Consider the following 17,995-nt stretch of genomic DNA (forward strand, 5'->3'; position numbering starts at 1 on the left):
ATATAGGTGGGAGGCAGTTACCTCTAATTCTGCAATTCAAAATGCAATTCCAAGTTCTTGTGCCTGTGATTCAATTCAGCTTCCAGATAACCATCAGAGTTGTTTATCGGAAATTTCCTGCTCCTCATTTCTGATTACTTCTGCTGCTTCCTTTGTAGCTAATGTGACAAATGATGCAATGCATATTTCAACTTCCATTTTGGGTCTATACCAATCCACAACTGCTCTTAGGAACAAAGGGAAGGCAGGGAGAGAAATGTTGACAGTTTGCAGAGAAGCCAGCCCATAGTTGGATCACTGCACCATGTTATGTACTTTTGACATAAGAGAACAGAGAGAATGTGCCTACTTGGAAAGATGTGAGTTGTTAATAGAAGATCATGATTATGGAAAATGGTTGAGTTTCTGGGAGAAAGCTGTGTTTTATATTGGTAGGAAAGCACACAGAACCTTAGATTTTGTTATTGTGGGCTTTTTTTTTTTTTATTAAGCTGGAATGGGTTCAACATTTTTGCTTACTTTCCTTTATGAACTGTTTTCTGACCCTGTTAGCAGATTTCAGCTTGGATGTCAATCTGGAGGTGAAACGTTGACTTGGAATAGGAAGTTTCAGTGCAGTAAATGGACACAGAAGATAAACTAGGAAAGGGATGTGGTTATGAGTTTAGCTGGGGAGGTCTGGGAGGTTCTTCCAGAGAAGACACAACAAGTTTTGGGCTCTGACTAAACCCATGCCCATACAAATCTCTCTCCCATTGGGCTATCTGGGGGATATTGTTTTAGTATAGCTCCCTCATCACTGTTGAGTCCTTGCTGTGAGGTTTTCTTGGGGTAAGTCATTAATAGAGCCAAAGTGGCTCCAACTAGGGAGTAAGGAAAAAAATGTTCCTGAACCCCAGAGGAAGAGAAGCTATGCACAGCCACAATTTATCTGTATTTGTCTGTTCTCACACTGCTAATAAAGACATACCTGAGACTGGGTAATTTATAAAGGAAAGCAGTTTAATGGACTCACATTTTCACATGGTAGGGGAGGCCTCACAATCATGGCAGAAGGCAATGGAGAAGCAAAGACACGTCTTACATGGTGGCAGGCAAGAGAGAGCATGTGAAAGAGAACTCCCCTTTCTAAAACCATCAGATCTGATGAGACTTATTTACTATCACAAGAACAGCATGGGAACAACCCACCCTTATGATTCAGTTACCTCCCACCAGGTCTCTCCCACAACACGTGGGAATTATGGGGGCTACAATTCAAGATGAGATTTGGGTGGGGACACAATCTAACCATATCATTATCCAAAATGTATATCTCATTAAATCACGCAGTTTTCACATTAGAAATGACTTAAAGAGATCACTTGGTTTAAATGAGAACCAGAGAAGTTAAGTGACTTACCTGAAGTCACTCAGCAAGTTAGTGGTAAAGTGAGAATTAGGAACCAGCTCTTTTGATTGCAAGCCCATATTATTTGCATAATGTAACAATAACCTTTGGACTTTCTTTTCCAGCAGAGGCACACAAACTGAGGTGAAAAGATGAATTTTAAAATATTTTAGAGCTAGAATCTCACTTTCTTGCCCAGGCTGAAGGCACTGTGATACTCACTGCAGCCTAGAACTCCAGGACTCAAGCGATCCTCAGACTCCTGAGCAGTTGGAATTATAGGCATCAATCACCATGCCTGGCCTGAGAAGATGCATTTAGATAAAGTAATATATTCACACACCAATTGTGGAGTAGCTTTTTATACATTTTCCTTATTTGATAAACTAAGGCATGAGAATGCAGAAATTCTCTGTGCATGCTCATGTCTGTGGCACCTGATTTTCAATCTGTGTGTGCATACATTGCAATTTACTTTTCAGTATTACCAAATTAAAAGCATTAATTTGATTATTCTGCCTAGGTGACCTTTGAAAAAAGTGATCTTTGGATACAGTATGGAGGGTGAAAGGGATTCTTAAAATTATAATATAGATCTATGATTTGAGAAATAACATAATGCAGATAACTTAAATGTGCTATAAACTAAATATCCAAATACATAGAAATCACCACTGACAGATCTGATCTTACATGTAAGAATAACTTCTGGAAAGGAGTCATTGGAGAATCAATTTCAATGCTTTTAGAACCTAAAAACACAATCCAAGAAACATGGGCACAAAAACAGGGATTACTTCATGTTTTAAATCATATTTTTCAATGGCTACATAATATACGGTATAGGTAAATTAAAACAGAGCCAACACAACAGTCTAATAAAGAAATATCAGAAATAATAGGTAACTAGTGGGCATATTTTTGTCACTTGTATCACCTTGTACCTTCACAAGCTTCTATTAGCACAGCTCGTGGTGAACAAACACCATCTCCAAGTTGGCTAACAGAAACATTTGTTGAAATGAATCTACTGTTTCCAATGAGAGCCTTCAGAAATGCCTAGGGTGGACAGGTGGTTTGGTAATTGTTTGTAACTGTTCTTTAGATAGATTAAGTAACTGCCTTCTGCTTCCACAGGAGGACTGAGGAAAGGCCCTCAAACAGCAAAATATCTAACTGCTTCACTGGCAACAATAACTTCTGTTAGTCTCTTCTGATTATCAAAGCCATATGTGCTCTTTGCAGAAAACTTAGAAAAATCAGAAAAGCATAAAGAATATAAAATTCCTCAGAATATCTGAATCTAAAGATCATCACAGATAATTAATATTTTGTTGTTTCCCTTGAGCATTTTTCCTGAGCTCATAATCATAATTTTGATAACACCATGTTCTTAATACTGAATCTCTGCTTAAAAAAAAAACTCTCATTTTAACATTTAAAATAATTGAGAGAGTAAATTTTAAATGTTCTCATCACCAGAAATTGGTAAGTAAGTGAGGTAATGGATATGTTGATAACTTGATTTAGCCATTCCACAATATACGCATATATCAAAACATGTCATACACCATAAACATATACAATTTTTATTTGTCAATTTACATTAATTAATTAATTCATTGCAAAATAATTTGTTGAAGAAATCTTCCCCAGATTCCTATATTAGGTTCAGCACCTGTGCTTCATATTTTCCTAATAGCATGAATGTCCTTCATTGTAAAGCTCACATTTTGTTATAGTTACTGGTACAATATGTACCTCCTTTGCTGGACAGTAAACTGTGTAGCAGGGCTTTGATCATCTTTGTAAGTTGCCATATCCATTTCTCTTGCCCCAAACATGGTAGATTTCCAGTAAGCCTGTTGAATGAATGAAATGCAGAAAATCTGTTGAATGAATGAAGTATAAAAATTACCCATAAACTGTACATATTATCCAGACATAACTAAATAACATTTTATAGTTAAAATTTTATAATCTACTTTTTTCCATTTAAAATTATATCTCAAGCATTTTCCTATATCCAAGTGAAATCCTTTTTTTATTGCATGGTATTGCATCAATATGTGCCAAATTTTCTATTCATTCTTCATTGTTGATCACTGCCCTAATGACCTGCTTTTTATTCTTTTTCATCTTACCCTTGCACTTTTAAGTAATATACCCACAGAATTATTTCTTGAGTCTTCAAATATAAACAATATCTCTTAACTCCCAGATTGTAAGATGAGATTATTTATCCCTTCAACTTTTCAGACACCCTCCTGCACCTTGATCTCTCAGTCTCTTTCATCTATACTTCTACTTCTAGATTGTCCGTTAATTATTTTTATAATCATAGTTAAATCTCCCATGCTTTTATGCTTTTACTATAATTGATTCTACACTTGATCTTAGCCAAAGGGCCAAGAAGCTCTAGATAGATATAGATAGACAGATGATGATAGATAGATAGATAGATAGATAGATAGATAGATAGATAGATAGATAGATTCTAAAAGTAGGAAGTCAATATAGTTTTTAATTATTGACTATGAAAGTTGTTCACTGAAGAATAAGATCATAGACTCTGATTACATTTCCTATCTTGTTTTTTTTTCTACAATTTTCAATTGACACTTTTATATTTTTTATAATCCCAGTTTGGTTTTTTCCTAGAATTACGAACTGCCTTAATTTTGTTCTCATATTTTTTCAAATTTTCAATCATGATAAGTAATCTATTAAGTCCTCCCCCTCTTTTTAAGACCTTGATCCTTGAGCATGCTAACCTGCTGCTTTCAAACTAGTTACTTTCTAAATCTGATGCATAGGTTTCTTCCTGGGACTTCTCTTTTCTTCTTCCCTGGATTGAATTCCCTGTCCGGAATCACAGGACTTTTTCCCTTTTGATTTCTGAATTTTATTTTGCTGGAGAACATCCTCCGGTAACTTTCTAGGAAAGGATGTATGAGAAGCATGTTTTCTGACTCCTTGCATTCCTGAAAATTGTTATATTTTACCCAGATATTTGAGTGATGCTTTACCAAGGTATATAATTTCAAGTTAAATATAATTCTCTTCTAGAACTTAAAGTATTATTCTCTTGTGTTGTATTATCCAGTGCTGCTGATAAGAAATCCAGTATCATTCTAATTTTCCTTTTATTTCTTTCTTTTTTTTTCATGGAGTCTCACTCTGCTGCCTACGCTGGACAGTGTAGTGGTGCGATCTCAAATCACTGCAATCTCTGCCTCCCAGGTTCAAGCGATTCTCCTACCTCAGCTTCCCAAGTAGCTGGGAATACAGGCATGTGCCACCATGCCTGGCTAATTTTTGTATTTTTAGTAGAGATGGAGTTTCACCATGTTGGCCAGGCTGGTCTTGAACTCATGACCTCAAGTGATCCACCCACCTCAGCCTCCCAAAGTGCTGGGATTACAGGAGTGAGCCACCATGCCCAGCCTGATTCTCATTTTTCATAGGACCTTTTTTCTTATTCTCTCTTGAAGCTTTTAGTCTCTTCTTTTTTTGTTGATGTTCTGAAATTTTAGAATGGTCTTTGGGTCTTTTTTTCATGTACTCATTTTAATTTTGAGGTTCTTACTCTTCAATGGTGAAAAAAACCTCCTGTATTATTTATATTATAATTTTTTCCATTTTCTCTATTCTTTCTTTTTAGGGATTTCTGTTATGAGATGTTCTCCCCTCTATTGGCCATCTGTGTTTACTATTTTCTGTCATGTTAGAACTTTTAGTTTGCGATTCTGCTTTCTAAGATATTCTTCAATATCTTCCAGCTCTTCAGTTACTTTCATTTTACAACTGTATATTCAACCTCCAGACTTTTTATTCTTTCTCCATTCCTTTTTAATAACTCCTGTTCTTGCTTTACAGTGGAATGTTCTCTCCTATTTCTTTAAGAATGTTAACTAGAAGGTTTCTAAGTTTTCTTTCTTTCCCTGAATTATCTCTTCCATCTGTGGTCATTTAAAAATCTTTATTTATCTTAATTTCTCAATTTTATGCTGGAGATCTTTGTGAAATCCCTGAAGGCGACCCTGTGTATGATTGGTAGCACCCTCATGTTTAATAATTATTCAGTACAAAGTTGATGAAGAACTCTATATGCAGGGTAAGGAGCCTGCTTCTCGCCAAGCAGCCTTCCTTCCAGGGTGATCACATGGTGAGCTAGTCTTTACTTGGGATACCCATGAATGTCATATTGTAGAGAATTCCTCTCTGTAGCCATTCAATTTTATTTAAGAAAAATGTATGTATTAGTTTTCTGAGTATGCCATAGCAAATACCAGACTGGATAACTTAAACAGCAGAAATTTATTTTCTCCCTTCTGGAGGCTAGAAGTCCAAGATCAAAGTGTCAACAGAGTTGCTTTCTTCCCAGGCCTCTCTCCTTGGCTTGTGGTTGGCCATCTTCTCCCTGTGCTTTCACACGGCCTTTCCTCTGTGCATGTCCCTGCTTCCATCTTCTCTGCCTACAAAGACATCAGCCATATTGTATTAGGGATAACCCATATGACCTAATTTAACCTTAATTACCTCTTTAAAGGCTCTGTTTCCAAATACAGTTACATTCTGAAATATGAGAAGTTAGGACTTCAACATGTGAATTTTTCTACATCTAGGAGACACATTTAGGCCAATAACAGTATACCTGGCAATGTTTATTTCTTTATTTGCTTGTTGCCTAACAGGCAGACATTTGAATGTCTGGCATTCTTCACATGGGATGAGAAAAGTTGGTGGAGAGGTTGACTCTTCCATATATAAACTTTCAGGTATTCTCCGTATTTTTGACCCTTTTCTCACTCCTGTCTTTGGCGAGACTTGGAGGTTCTGAGCCTTGAGCCCCTCCTAGGCTCTGCAGATGGACTCCTCCCTCAGCTGCCTGCCTCCTACAGCCTCTTCATCTGCATTTTCCTCTGGAGACACAGCATCTTCTCTGTCCTCCTCCTTCCTGTCCCTTTGTGGACCCCTTACAGCTGCTTTCTCTCCCTTTCTTCCTCAAACACCATCTTCTCTGCTCTCATTATTTCAGAAGTTTGCTAAACCCTCTCACTTGCTTACGTTATCCTGTTATTTTCATCATTTGGGTTTATACTATCATTTTAATGGAGTCTCATAGAAATGAGAGGTAAACACACAAGCATTTTGGAAAGACCCCTCTGAATGCAGTATGGAGGGTACATTGGTGGGGCAAGAAGGCAGAAAAGAGACTTATGGTCTTTGGGTTATTAGCCTTGGGCCTCTGCAGAATGAGCATCACAGGCCCAGGATGACAGGAGGTGCGGAAGGCAAGGGCAGCATCCCAGGAGCCCAGGACTCTCTACCAGTGGGCAGCCACATCGCTGTCCACGGTTTGGTGGGGAAAGTTCCCCATCAATCAAAAATTCTGTCAGCACCCATGAGTCATCACTGAGTGTCTTACCTCCTTTCCTGAGAAAATGGCAAGGACTTTGTTACCTGTGCATCTATTTTTCCATAAGTTGAGAAGTAACTGACCCTGGGAAGATGACTCAGAGCATCAGAAAACCAGCACGTTTCTGCTTCTCTTACAAGCCCTGGTCTTGACAGACACGATTGCCCTTTCTATTTACATCATAATACATTGATTGTTCTGTTTGAGACTCCAGGTAATGGATGGAGGGCAGTGAAAGGATGTGTGTGAACTTTCTGTCATGAAAGACAATTTACAGGAACTAATCATCTTACAATTGTTGCTCAGAAAAAAGAAATTCATCAACCAGGCACCCCCAAACAGGTATTTATATTCATGAACATCACTTAACTCTGAAGAAAGAGTTCCTTCCCAAAGAAGCCTCCTAGGAATGTTGCTGGTGTCATAAAAAGGGAAGGGAAAAGTTAAAGAAAACCTAAATTCATATTTTACTGCAGAATTTGTTAGTGTTTTTAAATTTTTATTCAGCAGTGTAAATCCCTAAGTCTTTAGCATTTCCCAGACTCATTTGACCACAGAACATGTATATCATTGGACTAGCTGGGAAATATAATAAGCCCAAAGGCATTTTATGAGGAGTCCAGCTAGACTTTTTTTTCTTTACCATTTGATATTTAAGTTCATGATTAGAGCTACTAGTAATTTTCTACCACTCCAAGGAGAAAATTTTAAATGTCACTGTTTGCCTTTGAAGAGAGGGTCCCAGGGTATGGAAACTTGTCTGTTTTCACTGCTTCTGAGGATTACCTGCCCTGGGAAAGGTCACCTTCAAACAAGAAGCTGCCAAACCTCTGCTTACCATGCATAAAATGGTCAACTCTGTTTGCATAATCACCCTTGAAGGGTGATTATGGCAAACCTATGTCTGAAAAAGAAAGGATCTGATTTTCCACATTCACTATTCTTTTTGCATTTTAGGAGTGATCTGAGCAACAGCATTGTCAGGATAATAGAAAAAGACTTAGCGGCCCTAAGCAGCAGTGATGTTTAATGCCCCTATTCATATAAAGTTAAATATAGATACATATTTGAGCCTCACCTTATTTTCCAACTTGTTTTCTTTGTACTTTAATTCCTAATAGCTATAAAGTTCCTGGTCAGAGGAAGGAGTTGGTCTTTACAGAAATGTAGCCCAGTGGAAATCCATGGACCTACCTTGCAAAGGAGAACCCTCTTAGAGTAGGCAGGCGTGTCCTAGACAAAATTGGTTGCAATGGATGAAGTTGGGCTTTTCATAAGGGAAACTCAGTTATTCAAGAAAGAGCAAGCAATGAGGGCTACAGAGGTGGACAGAAACTTGGGAGGCCAACATTCAGGAGCTGTGGATTTCAAAGATGTTACAGGTTGTGGGTTCAGACCTTTCGCAAACCTTGGAACAAGATCTTTTCATCTTCAAGGCTTCTGTTATCCATCTGTAGAACATTCTTTTCCATTTTGAGAGCTAGTTATTTTTGATCGTGTGTGTGTTTATCTGTCTGTCCTCCAGTTCATTTATGAACTTACCTCCCACTTCTTTTAGTCCATGAATCCTAATATACTGCTTATGCATGGTACATATTTGTTGTTGGGGATTGACTATGTGTGTCCTACTTAGGAGAAAGGCTACATCAATTCAAGATGGTCTTATAACTGTGAAAGCCAATGAGTCCTTGAAGTGTGATTGTGGGAAACCTATGTCTGAAAAAGAAAGGATCTGATTTTCCACAGTCACTATTCTTTTTGCATTTTAGGAGTGATCTGAGCAACAACATTGCCAGGATAATAGGAAAAGACTTAACCGCGCAAAGCAGCAGTGATGTTTAATTCTCCAATTTATATAAAGTTAAATATAGATACATATTTGACCCTCACCTCATTTTTCAACTTGTTTTCTTTGTACTGTAATTCCTAATAGCTATAAAGTTCTGCCTTGTGCTAATGTACTTTTATCTTTCCAGAGAAAATGATACTTGTAATAAAGGGATGTTTTTTATTTGAATGGAGAAATACAATTATATAACCTGATAGATTTATTCTATAAAAGTGCTATTCTGCTTTTTGAAGTAGGACAGTGCCTTGGACTAAATGTTTGTGTGTCCCCAAAATTCATATGTTGAAGCCTAATCCCCAATGTGATGGTATTTGGAGGTGGGGCCTTTGGAAGGTAATTAGGTCATGAGGGTGGAAACCCCATGAGTGGGATTAGTGCCCTTATAAAAAGAGACAGAAGAGATGATCTCTCTTCCTCTTGCCTATGTGAAGATACAGTGAGAAGTCATCCATCTGCAAACTAGGAAGAAGGCCCTCGCCAGACACTGGATCCACTGGCAGCTTGATCTTGGATGTCCCAGCCTCCAGAACTGTGGGAAATAAATGTTTGTTATTGAAGCCACCTAGTCTATGGTATTTTTTTTTTTTTTGGCAGCCCGAACTGATTAAGGTAAGCAGCATATCTGATTCTTGTCTGTAATGGAATTTGTTCTAATATCTTTACTTAAATATTTCACTAAAAACAAAGCACTTCAAAGCAGCTTTACAACACTTTTCTGTGGGGACACACTAGACTTCTAAGTATGACATTTGTCAAGCTACCTGAATACAGGTCTGACTCTTGCTTTCTAGCTGGGTGACCTTGGGCAATTTATTTAAATTTTCCAAACTCATTTCCTTTTTTTTTTTTTGTCAAACCAGTATAAAATGTAAGTCCCCTTATTTGTTTCTCTTGTGGGAGTAAATGAGATAGTGCACTCAGGGCCTAGTTATAAGTATTCAATAAACATTTGTCGTTGTTGTTGGGGTAATGATGTGTTGCTTGGTACTGTTGAAGGTGGCAACTCTGTCTAATCTCAGGTCCTCCAAGCCTACCATTCTGTGCTCAGTCACAATAAGTGTTTATTAATGAAATAAAAGAATAAGATAAATATACTCACTAGGTTTTTCTTCTAATATTAGAAGCTTTCAGCCACCTAGTTGATTGAAGATTATTTTTTTCAATTTATAGACTATTTTATAACAGTGATTTTAGATTGACAGAAAAAATGAGCAGAAAGTAGACAGTTCTGAGAGATTCTTTCTCCCCACCCCATACCACCCCTCCCTTTAGTTTTCCCCTATTATTAACATCTTGCATTTGTTTCAATTGATGAGCCAATATTGATGCATTATTATTAACTAAAGCCCATGGTTTCCATTAGGGTTCACTGTTGGCATTTTATATTCTGTGAGCTTTGACAAATGCATTGTCTCATGTATCCACCATTACAGTATCATACAGAAGAGTTTCACTGCCCTAACTGTCCCCTGCACTTCCCCTATTCATCCCTTCCTCCCTTCAGCCCCTGCCAACCTTTCATCCTTTTAGTTTCTGTAATTTTGCTTTTTTCCAGAAAGACATGCAGTTGGAATCACACAGTATGGAGCCTTTTCTGACTGTTTTTTTTTCACTTACACAATATATATTTTATGTGTAAGTTCCTCCATGTTTATTCAAACAAAGCTATGTTTTTACTTAGGAATAAGGCCATTGCTATGGGAATTATCCATTTGGCTAATGTTTCTCTTCTTAGTAAATGCTCACTTAAGAACTAGTTCCTTGTTGAAACCCCTATTCTTAGTCTAATTCATTAATTTAACTGAAAACAGGTACACTTAAAGGGGAATTTTGCATCTTAAGGAGAGGTTAAAAACAATGATTAAAAATGATTAGTAATTAAGTAATTAGTAATTGGTAATGAACTGCTAATTAAAAGTAAAATTCAAGAGTATATGTATACCTTTTTCCTTTCATGATTAATAAGTCCATCATCACTTCCTGGTGGGAGCCTTGATTATACCACAGGCTGTTAGGGACCTGTCAGATTCTCCTAAGGTAACATGAGTTATTACTCATAGCAAACTGGCTGGAAATTCTTTTTTTATTATTACAATTATCTATAACTTAATTGCTTCTGGATGACCTTACTATCACTCCATTCTTGGTCTCTCTTTCTAAGGTCAGGGTAATAGAAAAGAATTATTCATCATAAGTTTTAAAACTCCCCTTTTACTAATCTTGTCTGTCTCCCTGATTGGATCTCTGGAGGATCCTCTTTTTCTCCAGCTTGAGATATGGGGGGAACCCACCCCCAGTATTTCAACGTAGGTTCTTTCTATTTTGCATAAGTGTCAGTCAGCTGAGAAATAAAGAGAAAGAGTACAAAGAGAGGAATTTTACAGCTGGGCTGCCAGGGGTGACATCACATATCGGTAGGACCATGATGCCTGCCTGAGGCTCAAACCAGCAAGTTTTTGTTAAGGATTTCAAAAGGGGAGAGGGTGTAAAACAGTGAGTAGGCACAAAGATCATGTGCTTCAAAGGTCAAAAAGCAAAACAAAGATCACATGCTTCTGAGGGAACAGGACAAAGGCAAAGCAGAACTACTGATAAGGGTCTATGTTCAGCTATGCACGTGTTGCCTTGATAAACATCTTAAACAACAGAAAACAGGGTTAGAGAGCAGAGAACTGGTCTGACCACAAATTTACCAGGGCAGAGATTTTCCCCACCCTAATAAGCCTGAGGGTACTGCAGGAGACCAGGATATACCTCAGTCCTTATCTCAACAGCATAAGACAGACACTCCCAGAGCGGCCATTTATAGACTGCCCCCCAGGAATGCATTCCTTTCCCAGGGTATTAATATTAATATTCCTTGCTAGGAAAAGAATTTAGTGATACCTCTCCTACTTGCACATCCATTTATAGGCTCTCTGCAAGAAGAAAAATATGGCTGTTTTTGCCCAACCCCGCAGGCAGTCAGACCTCATGGTTGTCTTCCCTTGTTCCCTAAAAGTCACTGTTATTCTGTTCTTTTTCAAGGTGCACTGATTTCATATTCAAACACTCATGTTTTACAATCAATTTATACAGTTAACACAATTATCACAGTGGTCCTGAGATGACGTACATCCTTAGCTTACGAAGATAACAGGATTAAGAGATTAAAATAAAGACAGGCATAAGAAATTATAAAAGTATTATTTAGGAACTGATAAATGTCCATGAAATCTTCACAATTTATGTTCCTCTGCTGTGGCTCCAGCTGGTCCCTCCATTCAGGGTCCCTGACTTCCTGCAACAAGGAGATGGGGACAGCACAGATACAGCTGTCTTCATGCCTTCCCAGGAGGCCAGCCCCAGATGAGCAGGCCTCTTCCAGACTTAATTTCCTTGATAATTTTGTGTTCATCTTGTTCCACTAGATACTCTAAGATACAGTTTCTTCTGCAGCCCTTCAGCCTTCCCTCTCAGCTTTTTAAAGTTTATACCCTTCAAGCACTTACAAACAGTATGTCACTCCACTGGTCTTAGTTTAGAAAATGCACAGATATATTTACTTGGCTTTTGGAGTGCTTTTTAAAAAGCCACCTTCCTGGGCCCTTGAACTCTTCATGGACGGGGGAAAGAGAAGTTTCTTCACCAAACTGCCTGAGGCTGGGTGGTTTGGATTTCTTTAAAAGAGCTGTTGTTTCCTTCCTGCTGTCATTTCTGCATCTAATCATGGAGGCAGCTCCTGATCAAAGAGCATTGTACTGGTGAGGCACTCATTCTCCCACATATGGGCTGACCCCCTGGTGCTGAGTGAGTGAGGTGAGCCTGGTCAGAATGGGGTTGGGGGCACCAAGAAAGAGATAGCTCAATGTAGGGCCCTTGTGTCCATGCAAGTTTCATTCACATCCCCAAAGCAGTGTCAAGCCCCTGAAGCCACATCAACTCTCCAATACTAAGCCCCTAGGTTCTTTGAGCAAAGTAGTTGACTAAGAACCAAGAAGAAGATGAAGAATAAACATTAACAATGGCTGAAAATTGAGGTTTTAGGTTTTTTACGAAATACAAAAATGCCAATCACATTTGTATCTGCTGGGGTTTTATCAGAAATCTTCCAGGGGAACTGTGATGGTTAATATTGAGTGTCAACTTGATTGGATTGAAGGATGCAAAGTATTGTTCCTGAGTGTGTTTGTGAGGGTGTTGCCAAAGGAGGTAACATTTGAGTCAGTGCACTGGGAGAGGCTAACCTACCCTCAATCTGGTTGGGCACCATCTAATCAGCTGCCAGTGTGGCTAGAATAAAAGCTGGCCGAAGTTGGAAAATAAGATAAGAACACGTGTTGAGTCTGCCGGCCTTCACTTTTCCCCTGTGCTGGATGCCTTCTGCCCTTGAATATCAGACTCCAAGTTCTTCAGCTTTTGGACTCTTGGACTTACACCAGTGTTTTGCCAGGGGCTCTTAGATCTTCGGCCACAGACTGAAGGCTGCACTGTCAGCTTCCCTACTTTTGAGGTTTTTGGACTCAGACTGGCTTCCTTGCTGCTCAGCTTGCAGACGGCCTATTGTGGGACTTCACCTTGTGATCATGTGAGTCAATACTCCTTCATAAACTCCCCTTCATGTACACATCTGTCCTATTAGTTCTGTGCCTCTAGAGAACCCTGACCAATACAGGAACTAAAAGGGGCTAAGCAGTTCTCAGAACTAACCACTGAGACTTTTCCTCTGGGAACTCTGGGGCACTACAGCTCCTTCTCTTTTGGTCAAAAAAAGTGCAATCATGGCTTCTCTTGTTTATGATTCTTCTAGAAGTTTTATGTCTTTTCTTTCTTTCTTTTTTTTTTTTTCTCTCATCCTCTCTCTTGGAACTCTGCTAGGAAGTAGAAGTGATTATCCACATTCCATAGAAGAAGAAGCGGAGCTCAGAATGGGTAAGTAACTTGGCTGATGTCTCCCAGCTGATATGTGGAGGGGTGTTGGGGTTCCCAAAGAGCCCCTCCTTTCCCTTTCTCTCCTCCTTCTCAATCTGGGGAGGGGTGGGACAGTATCACATGGTTGTGAAGGGAGAACCCCATATGTATGCCATGCTACCAGCTTGCCTCTTCCCTCAGCACTGACTACAAGGTGTGATCATGAGGAATATTCACCGTTTATGCTCATATTGTTCAAGAGAAGACTAAACCAGCAGGCTCAGCCAGAGCATCCCTGGAAACTTACCTGAGCATTATCCATAGTAATTCTTCTGTTTGCTGCTGGGTTTCCTTCATCAATTTTAATCCTTACACCTCTTCTGTAAAAACCATGCTCAACATCCATTCTGTCCATCCTTAGTGGGGCCATTCCCAGGAGCAATGGTTACAACCTACTAACAAATGTGCTTATGCAGATCCTCAAAATAGAGCCAAACCTCCCCACATCTTAGGGCCTGGGAAAGATTTGCACTTTCTCGTTCTATAATGGATGTTATAAGTTGATGTTGATGCCTCACATCAGTTTCCAAATTAATATTTGCTATATGGAGCCTTGCTAATTAATATGAATCTTTGATGAAGTTTCAGATCAGCTATTTGAAATGGGAGGAAGGTAGAAAGCAACTTGCAAATTCTGTGCATAATGAGGTGAGGAACAAGCTCACATAATGAAGTAAACAATTAGGCAACATTTGCATGATTCTTTTTCTTCCAACACAAGACAAGACACAGGGAGCTGATTAGCATTCTGCCTTTGCTGTGAGTCTTGCTTCTTATTTCTCCACCATTTGGGAGGATTCTCAAAGCCAAGCACAGGTAACACTGTTTTGCCAAAATTTTCTTATATTATCCAAGGGACTGCCAGGCAGCAAAGGTTACCCTGCCAAAGTCAACCTGACACAGGTGACTTCTGTTTCTGTAACTTTTCCCTCAGCTGATACACTTGTATCCAGAGAAAGGCCCCAATTTAGGTTCTGACCTCTGAATGCCAACCAGCCAGAGAGTACTGAAAACAGTTATTACTCAACCCCAACATTTACTGAGCGTCTACTATGCCCTAGAGCCTGTGCTAGAGGTGAAGATAAAAATGAATAGGTGAATGTCCTGCTGCCTTTGAGGTATCCTCTGCCCACTGGAGGAAGAAGCATTAAAGACAACATTTATGGTGAGCACTCTGCAGGTACAGAGGAGGGAATCTACCTCTGGTCGGGGAAGGAGGAAGGGTTCGAGAAAAGCTCCCAGAGGAGGCAATGCCTGCCATGAGACTGGAAAGAGGATCAGGAGCTGGCCAACGAGCAGCAGAACGGGGCTCATTCTAGACAGAGTGCTCCCAACATAAGCAAAGCTGTGAGGAAGTTCCCAGTGTTCCAGAAACTACAAGTGGTTTCCTAGAGAGTATGAAGTTGTGCACACAGGAAAGCTCTCACAGGTAAAGCTAGACATGTCAGCAAAGGCCTGCTCCTGAACCTGAGATGTGGTTCTTGGTGGACAGAGTCAATGAGGGCTTTTAACAGGGAAAATACATGGGAGGATGTATATTTTAGAGAACACACTCAAGCTTGTTGGGCTAGATGGACATGTCAAATAAAGATGATAATGAGCATATTGGGTGTCCACTGTGTGCCAGGTACAATGCTGGGATGGCAAGGACACAGACACCAGTCAGAAATCTTCCAACTAAGGTGGGTCCGCTGGGAGCAGCCCAAGGTGCCAAAGAAGCTGTCAAACAGCTTGATGAACAGACCCGTGCCTTCCCAGATCCAGATCCCAGCTCTATGGGTTATTAGTTATGTGGCTACGTAGCTCATGGAACTTCTCTGTGTCTCAGTTTCTTCATTAGTGAAATGAGGAAAACAGGACCTACCTCATAGAGGTATTGCTGTGAGGATTAAATGCGTAGATGTACGTGATGTCCTTACTTTGGCTTCTGGAAAAGTTAAGTGATTTCTAAGTGCAGTTCACATTATCTGAACAATGGTAAGGACTGAAGACAGAGCAAGAACATCAAGGCATGTTAAGAACAAGAGGTATCAGGGGAACCCGCTCCCAATATTTCAACATAGGTTCTTTCTATTTTCCATAAGTGTCAGTTGGCTGAGAAATAAAGAGAAAGAGTACAAAGAGAGGAATTTTACAGCTGGGCCGCCAGGGGTGACATCACATATCAGTAGGACTGTGATGCCCGCCTGAGTCTCAGAGGAGCGAGTTTTTATTAAGGGTTTTAAAAGGGAAGGGGATGTAAGAACAGGGAGTAGGTACAAAGATCACATGCTTCAAAGGGCAAAAAGCAGAGCTACTAATAAGTGTCTAACAAAGATCACAGGGCAAAGAGCAAAAGCAGAACCACTGATAATGGTCTATGTTCAGCAGTGCACGTATTGTCTTGATAAACATCTTAAACAACAGAAAACAGAGATCAAGAGCAGAGAACTGGTCTGACCACAAATTTACCAGGGTGGAATTTTTCCCCACCCTAATAAGCCTGAGGGTACTGCAGGAGACCAGGGCATATCTCAGTCCTTATCTCAACTGCATAAGACAGACATACTACAGACTATACTACAGATATTCTACAGACTATACTGAAGGAGACAGGCTGGTGGAATCCAGTGCTTCCGTAAGAGTTAAGCACTTTGTAACTACAATTGTCATTATCTGAACTAAGGTAAGGGCTGGAGGCAGAGCCAGAGCTTCAAGAAGGAATTGGCTAACACAAAAGCAAGAACATGGATTCTTCTGAGAAGTAAAGAAAGATGTTTCCCAAAAGCAAGCACTTTGTAGGTGGCGATGTGTTGATGTGCTGGGTCTGATAAAAAGTGATCCCAACAGAAAGTTCCTCTCATCTCCAGCCTAGGAAATCTTTAGGCCTTCACTCAGATCTTCACTCAGGCCTTCCCGGACCACCCTCTCAAAAATTTTCAACCGCTTTCTCCTGCACACTTGAACTCTCCCTTTCTGCTTGTTCTCCTTGGCACTCACATTCTATCTCACTGAATTATCTGATTTCTTGTTATCTTCCACCCAAGGATGTAAGCCTCATTAAAGGCAGGGATTTTTGTCTGTTGTGTTCACTGTTGTAACTGGAGTTAAATGCTGCTTGTCACAAAGTAGACATTCAATAACTATTTGTTGAATGCCTGATGAATGAAATCCTCATGTTAGTACTATTGGAACAGAGAATAGGGTACATCTATTGGTCAACTAGCATTCAGAAACTATCTGCTGGGCCCTATGGGCGATATTGAAAAAGAAAACAGAAATTCTATCATCAAATTTTTAATATTTGAAGAAACAAAATGAATGAGCCCATGTGGTAAGAAGATGACTGAACCCCACTCTCCTTCTTCTAAAGCTGTGCTTTTTCTCCCTTGCAGTCTCATCTCCAGGCAGCTGTCCCTCTTCTGGATCTCTGGCAACTCCAGTTCACAGCACCCTTTCTCCTCCTAGCCTAGGATCCAGTGCCTTTAGCAGCCCAGTCATGCGACTCTCTCACACCAGCCTGGCACCTGGGTGTCGCCCGAAAGCCTCCTCAGAGCTGTCTTTGATGAGCACCACCTGCTGCCTGTCAGTCCAACTGCGGTGGAGATGGTTGGGGTCAAATCCCCATTGTCAAGGTGATAGGAGAGACCTCAGTGTGCTTTGTGGATGCAGAGGATGAAAATCAGCAAAACTGAATGAGCTGTGTGCTGTTCTTAGAGGAAGCACTAGGTAAACTATTCCAGTACAATTCTGTTTATTCTTTTCTGTGCAAACCCAAATTTAGTGTACCCAATACACATGCATATGAATACATACCACATAGAAATGCACAGACATCACACACACCCACAACACTCAGACACAGGGATGTGAGTGTATGCATGAACACATACTCACACTCACACACCATTGTAAGGCTTGTCCTCATCCTAAGAGTTTAACGTAATAGCTTTTTTAAAAAAAATTGAATAAATGAATGAATGAAATCATTATTTTATCTGTAATCATTTAACAGAGGATGGAGAATAATAGCCACCCACTCTCAACCATCCCAGTTTTAAACATTTATTAATATTGGGGTTTATTTTTAAAAGAAATTCAAAAACTTAGGGTAAAATGTTCCCCCAAAACTTTTACTGTTGCCTGGGTTTATTATTTTTCAGAATTCAATAAATTTTTCAGAATTGTTTTTCCTTTAAAGAGTGGAAACTTCTGAAGAAAATAGCCATGTTACCAATGTCGTCACGCTGAAGCCACAGAGTCAAGTTAGTGGCAATGGCCGTGGACTGGGAGCCAATTGAACTGGGTTTCAATCCTGCCTTTTTTTTTATTATTTTTAAATGCAACTGTATGCAAATTGCTTCTTCTCCCTGAGTCTCCATTTTCTCATTTATAATTTGGGGAG

General features: G+C 39.6%; 3 long non-coding RNA genes across 3 annotated transcripts, besides 1 other annotated feature; 2 read left to right on the forward strand and 1 right to left on the reverse strand.

Moving 5' to 3' along the window:
* Positions 147-6,909, reverse strand: LOC112268029 (uncharacterized). Its single transcript, XR_002956713.2, has 4 exons — positions 6,822-6,909; positions 3,152-3,252; positions 2,084-2,142; positions 147-221 (listed from the first exon to the last, which is right to left on the reverse strand). It is a non-coding gene; the product is annotated as an uncharacterized LOC112268029 (long non-coding RNA).
* Positions 5,777-9,222, forward strand: LOC124901954 (uncharacterized). Its single transcript, XR_007060948.1, has 2 exons — positions 5,777-7,154; positions 9,093-9,222. It is a non-coding gene; the product is annotated as an uncharacterized LOC124901954 (long non-coding RNA).
* Positions 6,725-7,335: an enhancer, noted in NCBI's record as "OCT4-NANOG-H3K4me1 hESC enhancer chr8:67098699-67099309 (GRCh37/hg19 assembly coordinates)". NCBI's record gives its function as "activates a minimal SCP1, AML or CMV promoter by ChIP-STARR-seq in naive and primed H9 embryonic stem cells {active_cell/tissue: H9 hESC(naive and primed)}" and the evidence as "EXISTENCE:reporter gene assay evidence [ECO:0000049][PMID:30033119]".
* A 3,152-nt stretch (positions 9,223-12,374) lies between the features above and the next one.
* Positions 12,375-17,580, forward strand: LINC00967 (long intergenic non-protein coding RNA 967). Its single transcript, NR_039979.1, has 3 exons — positions 12,375-13,228; positions 13,519-13,572; positions 16,986-17,580. It is a non-coding gene; the product is annotated as a long intergenic non-protein coding RNA 967 (long non-coding RNA).
* The last annotated feature ends 415 nt before the right edge of the window (positions 17,581-17,995 follow it).

Source organism: Homo sapiens, chromosome 8, assembly GCF_000001405.40.
Source record: "Homo sapiens chromosome 8, GRCh38.p14 Primary Assembly".
Taxonomy (NCBI): Eukaryota; Metazoa; Chordata; class Mammalia; order Primates; family Hominidae; genus Homo; species Homo sapiens.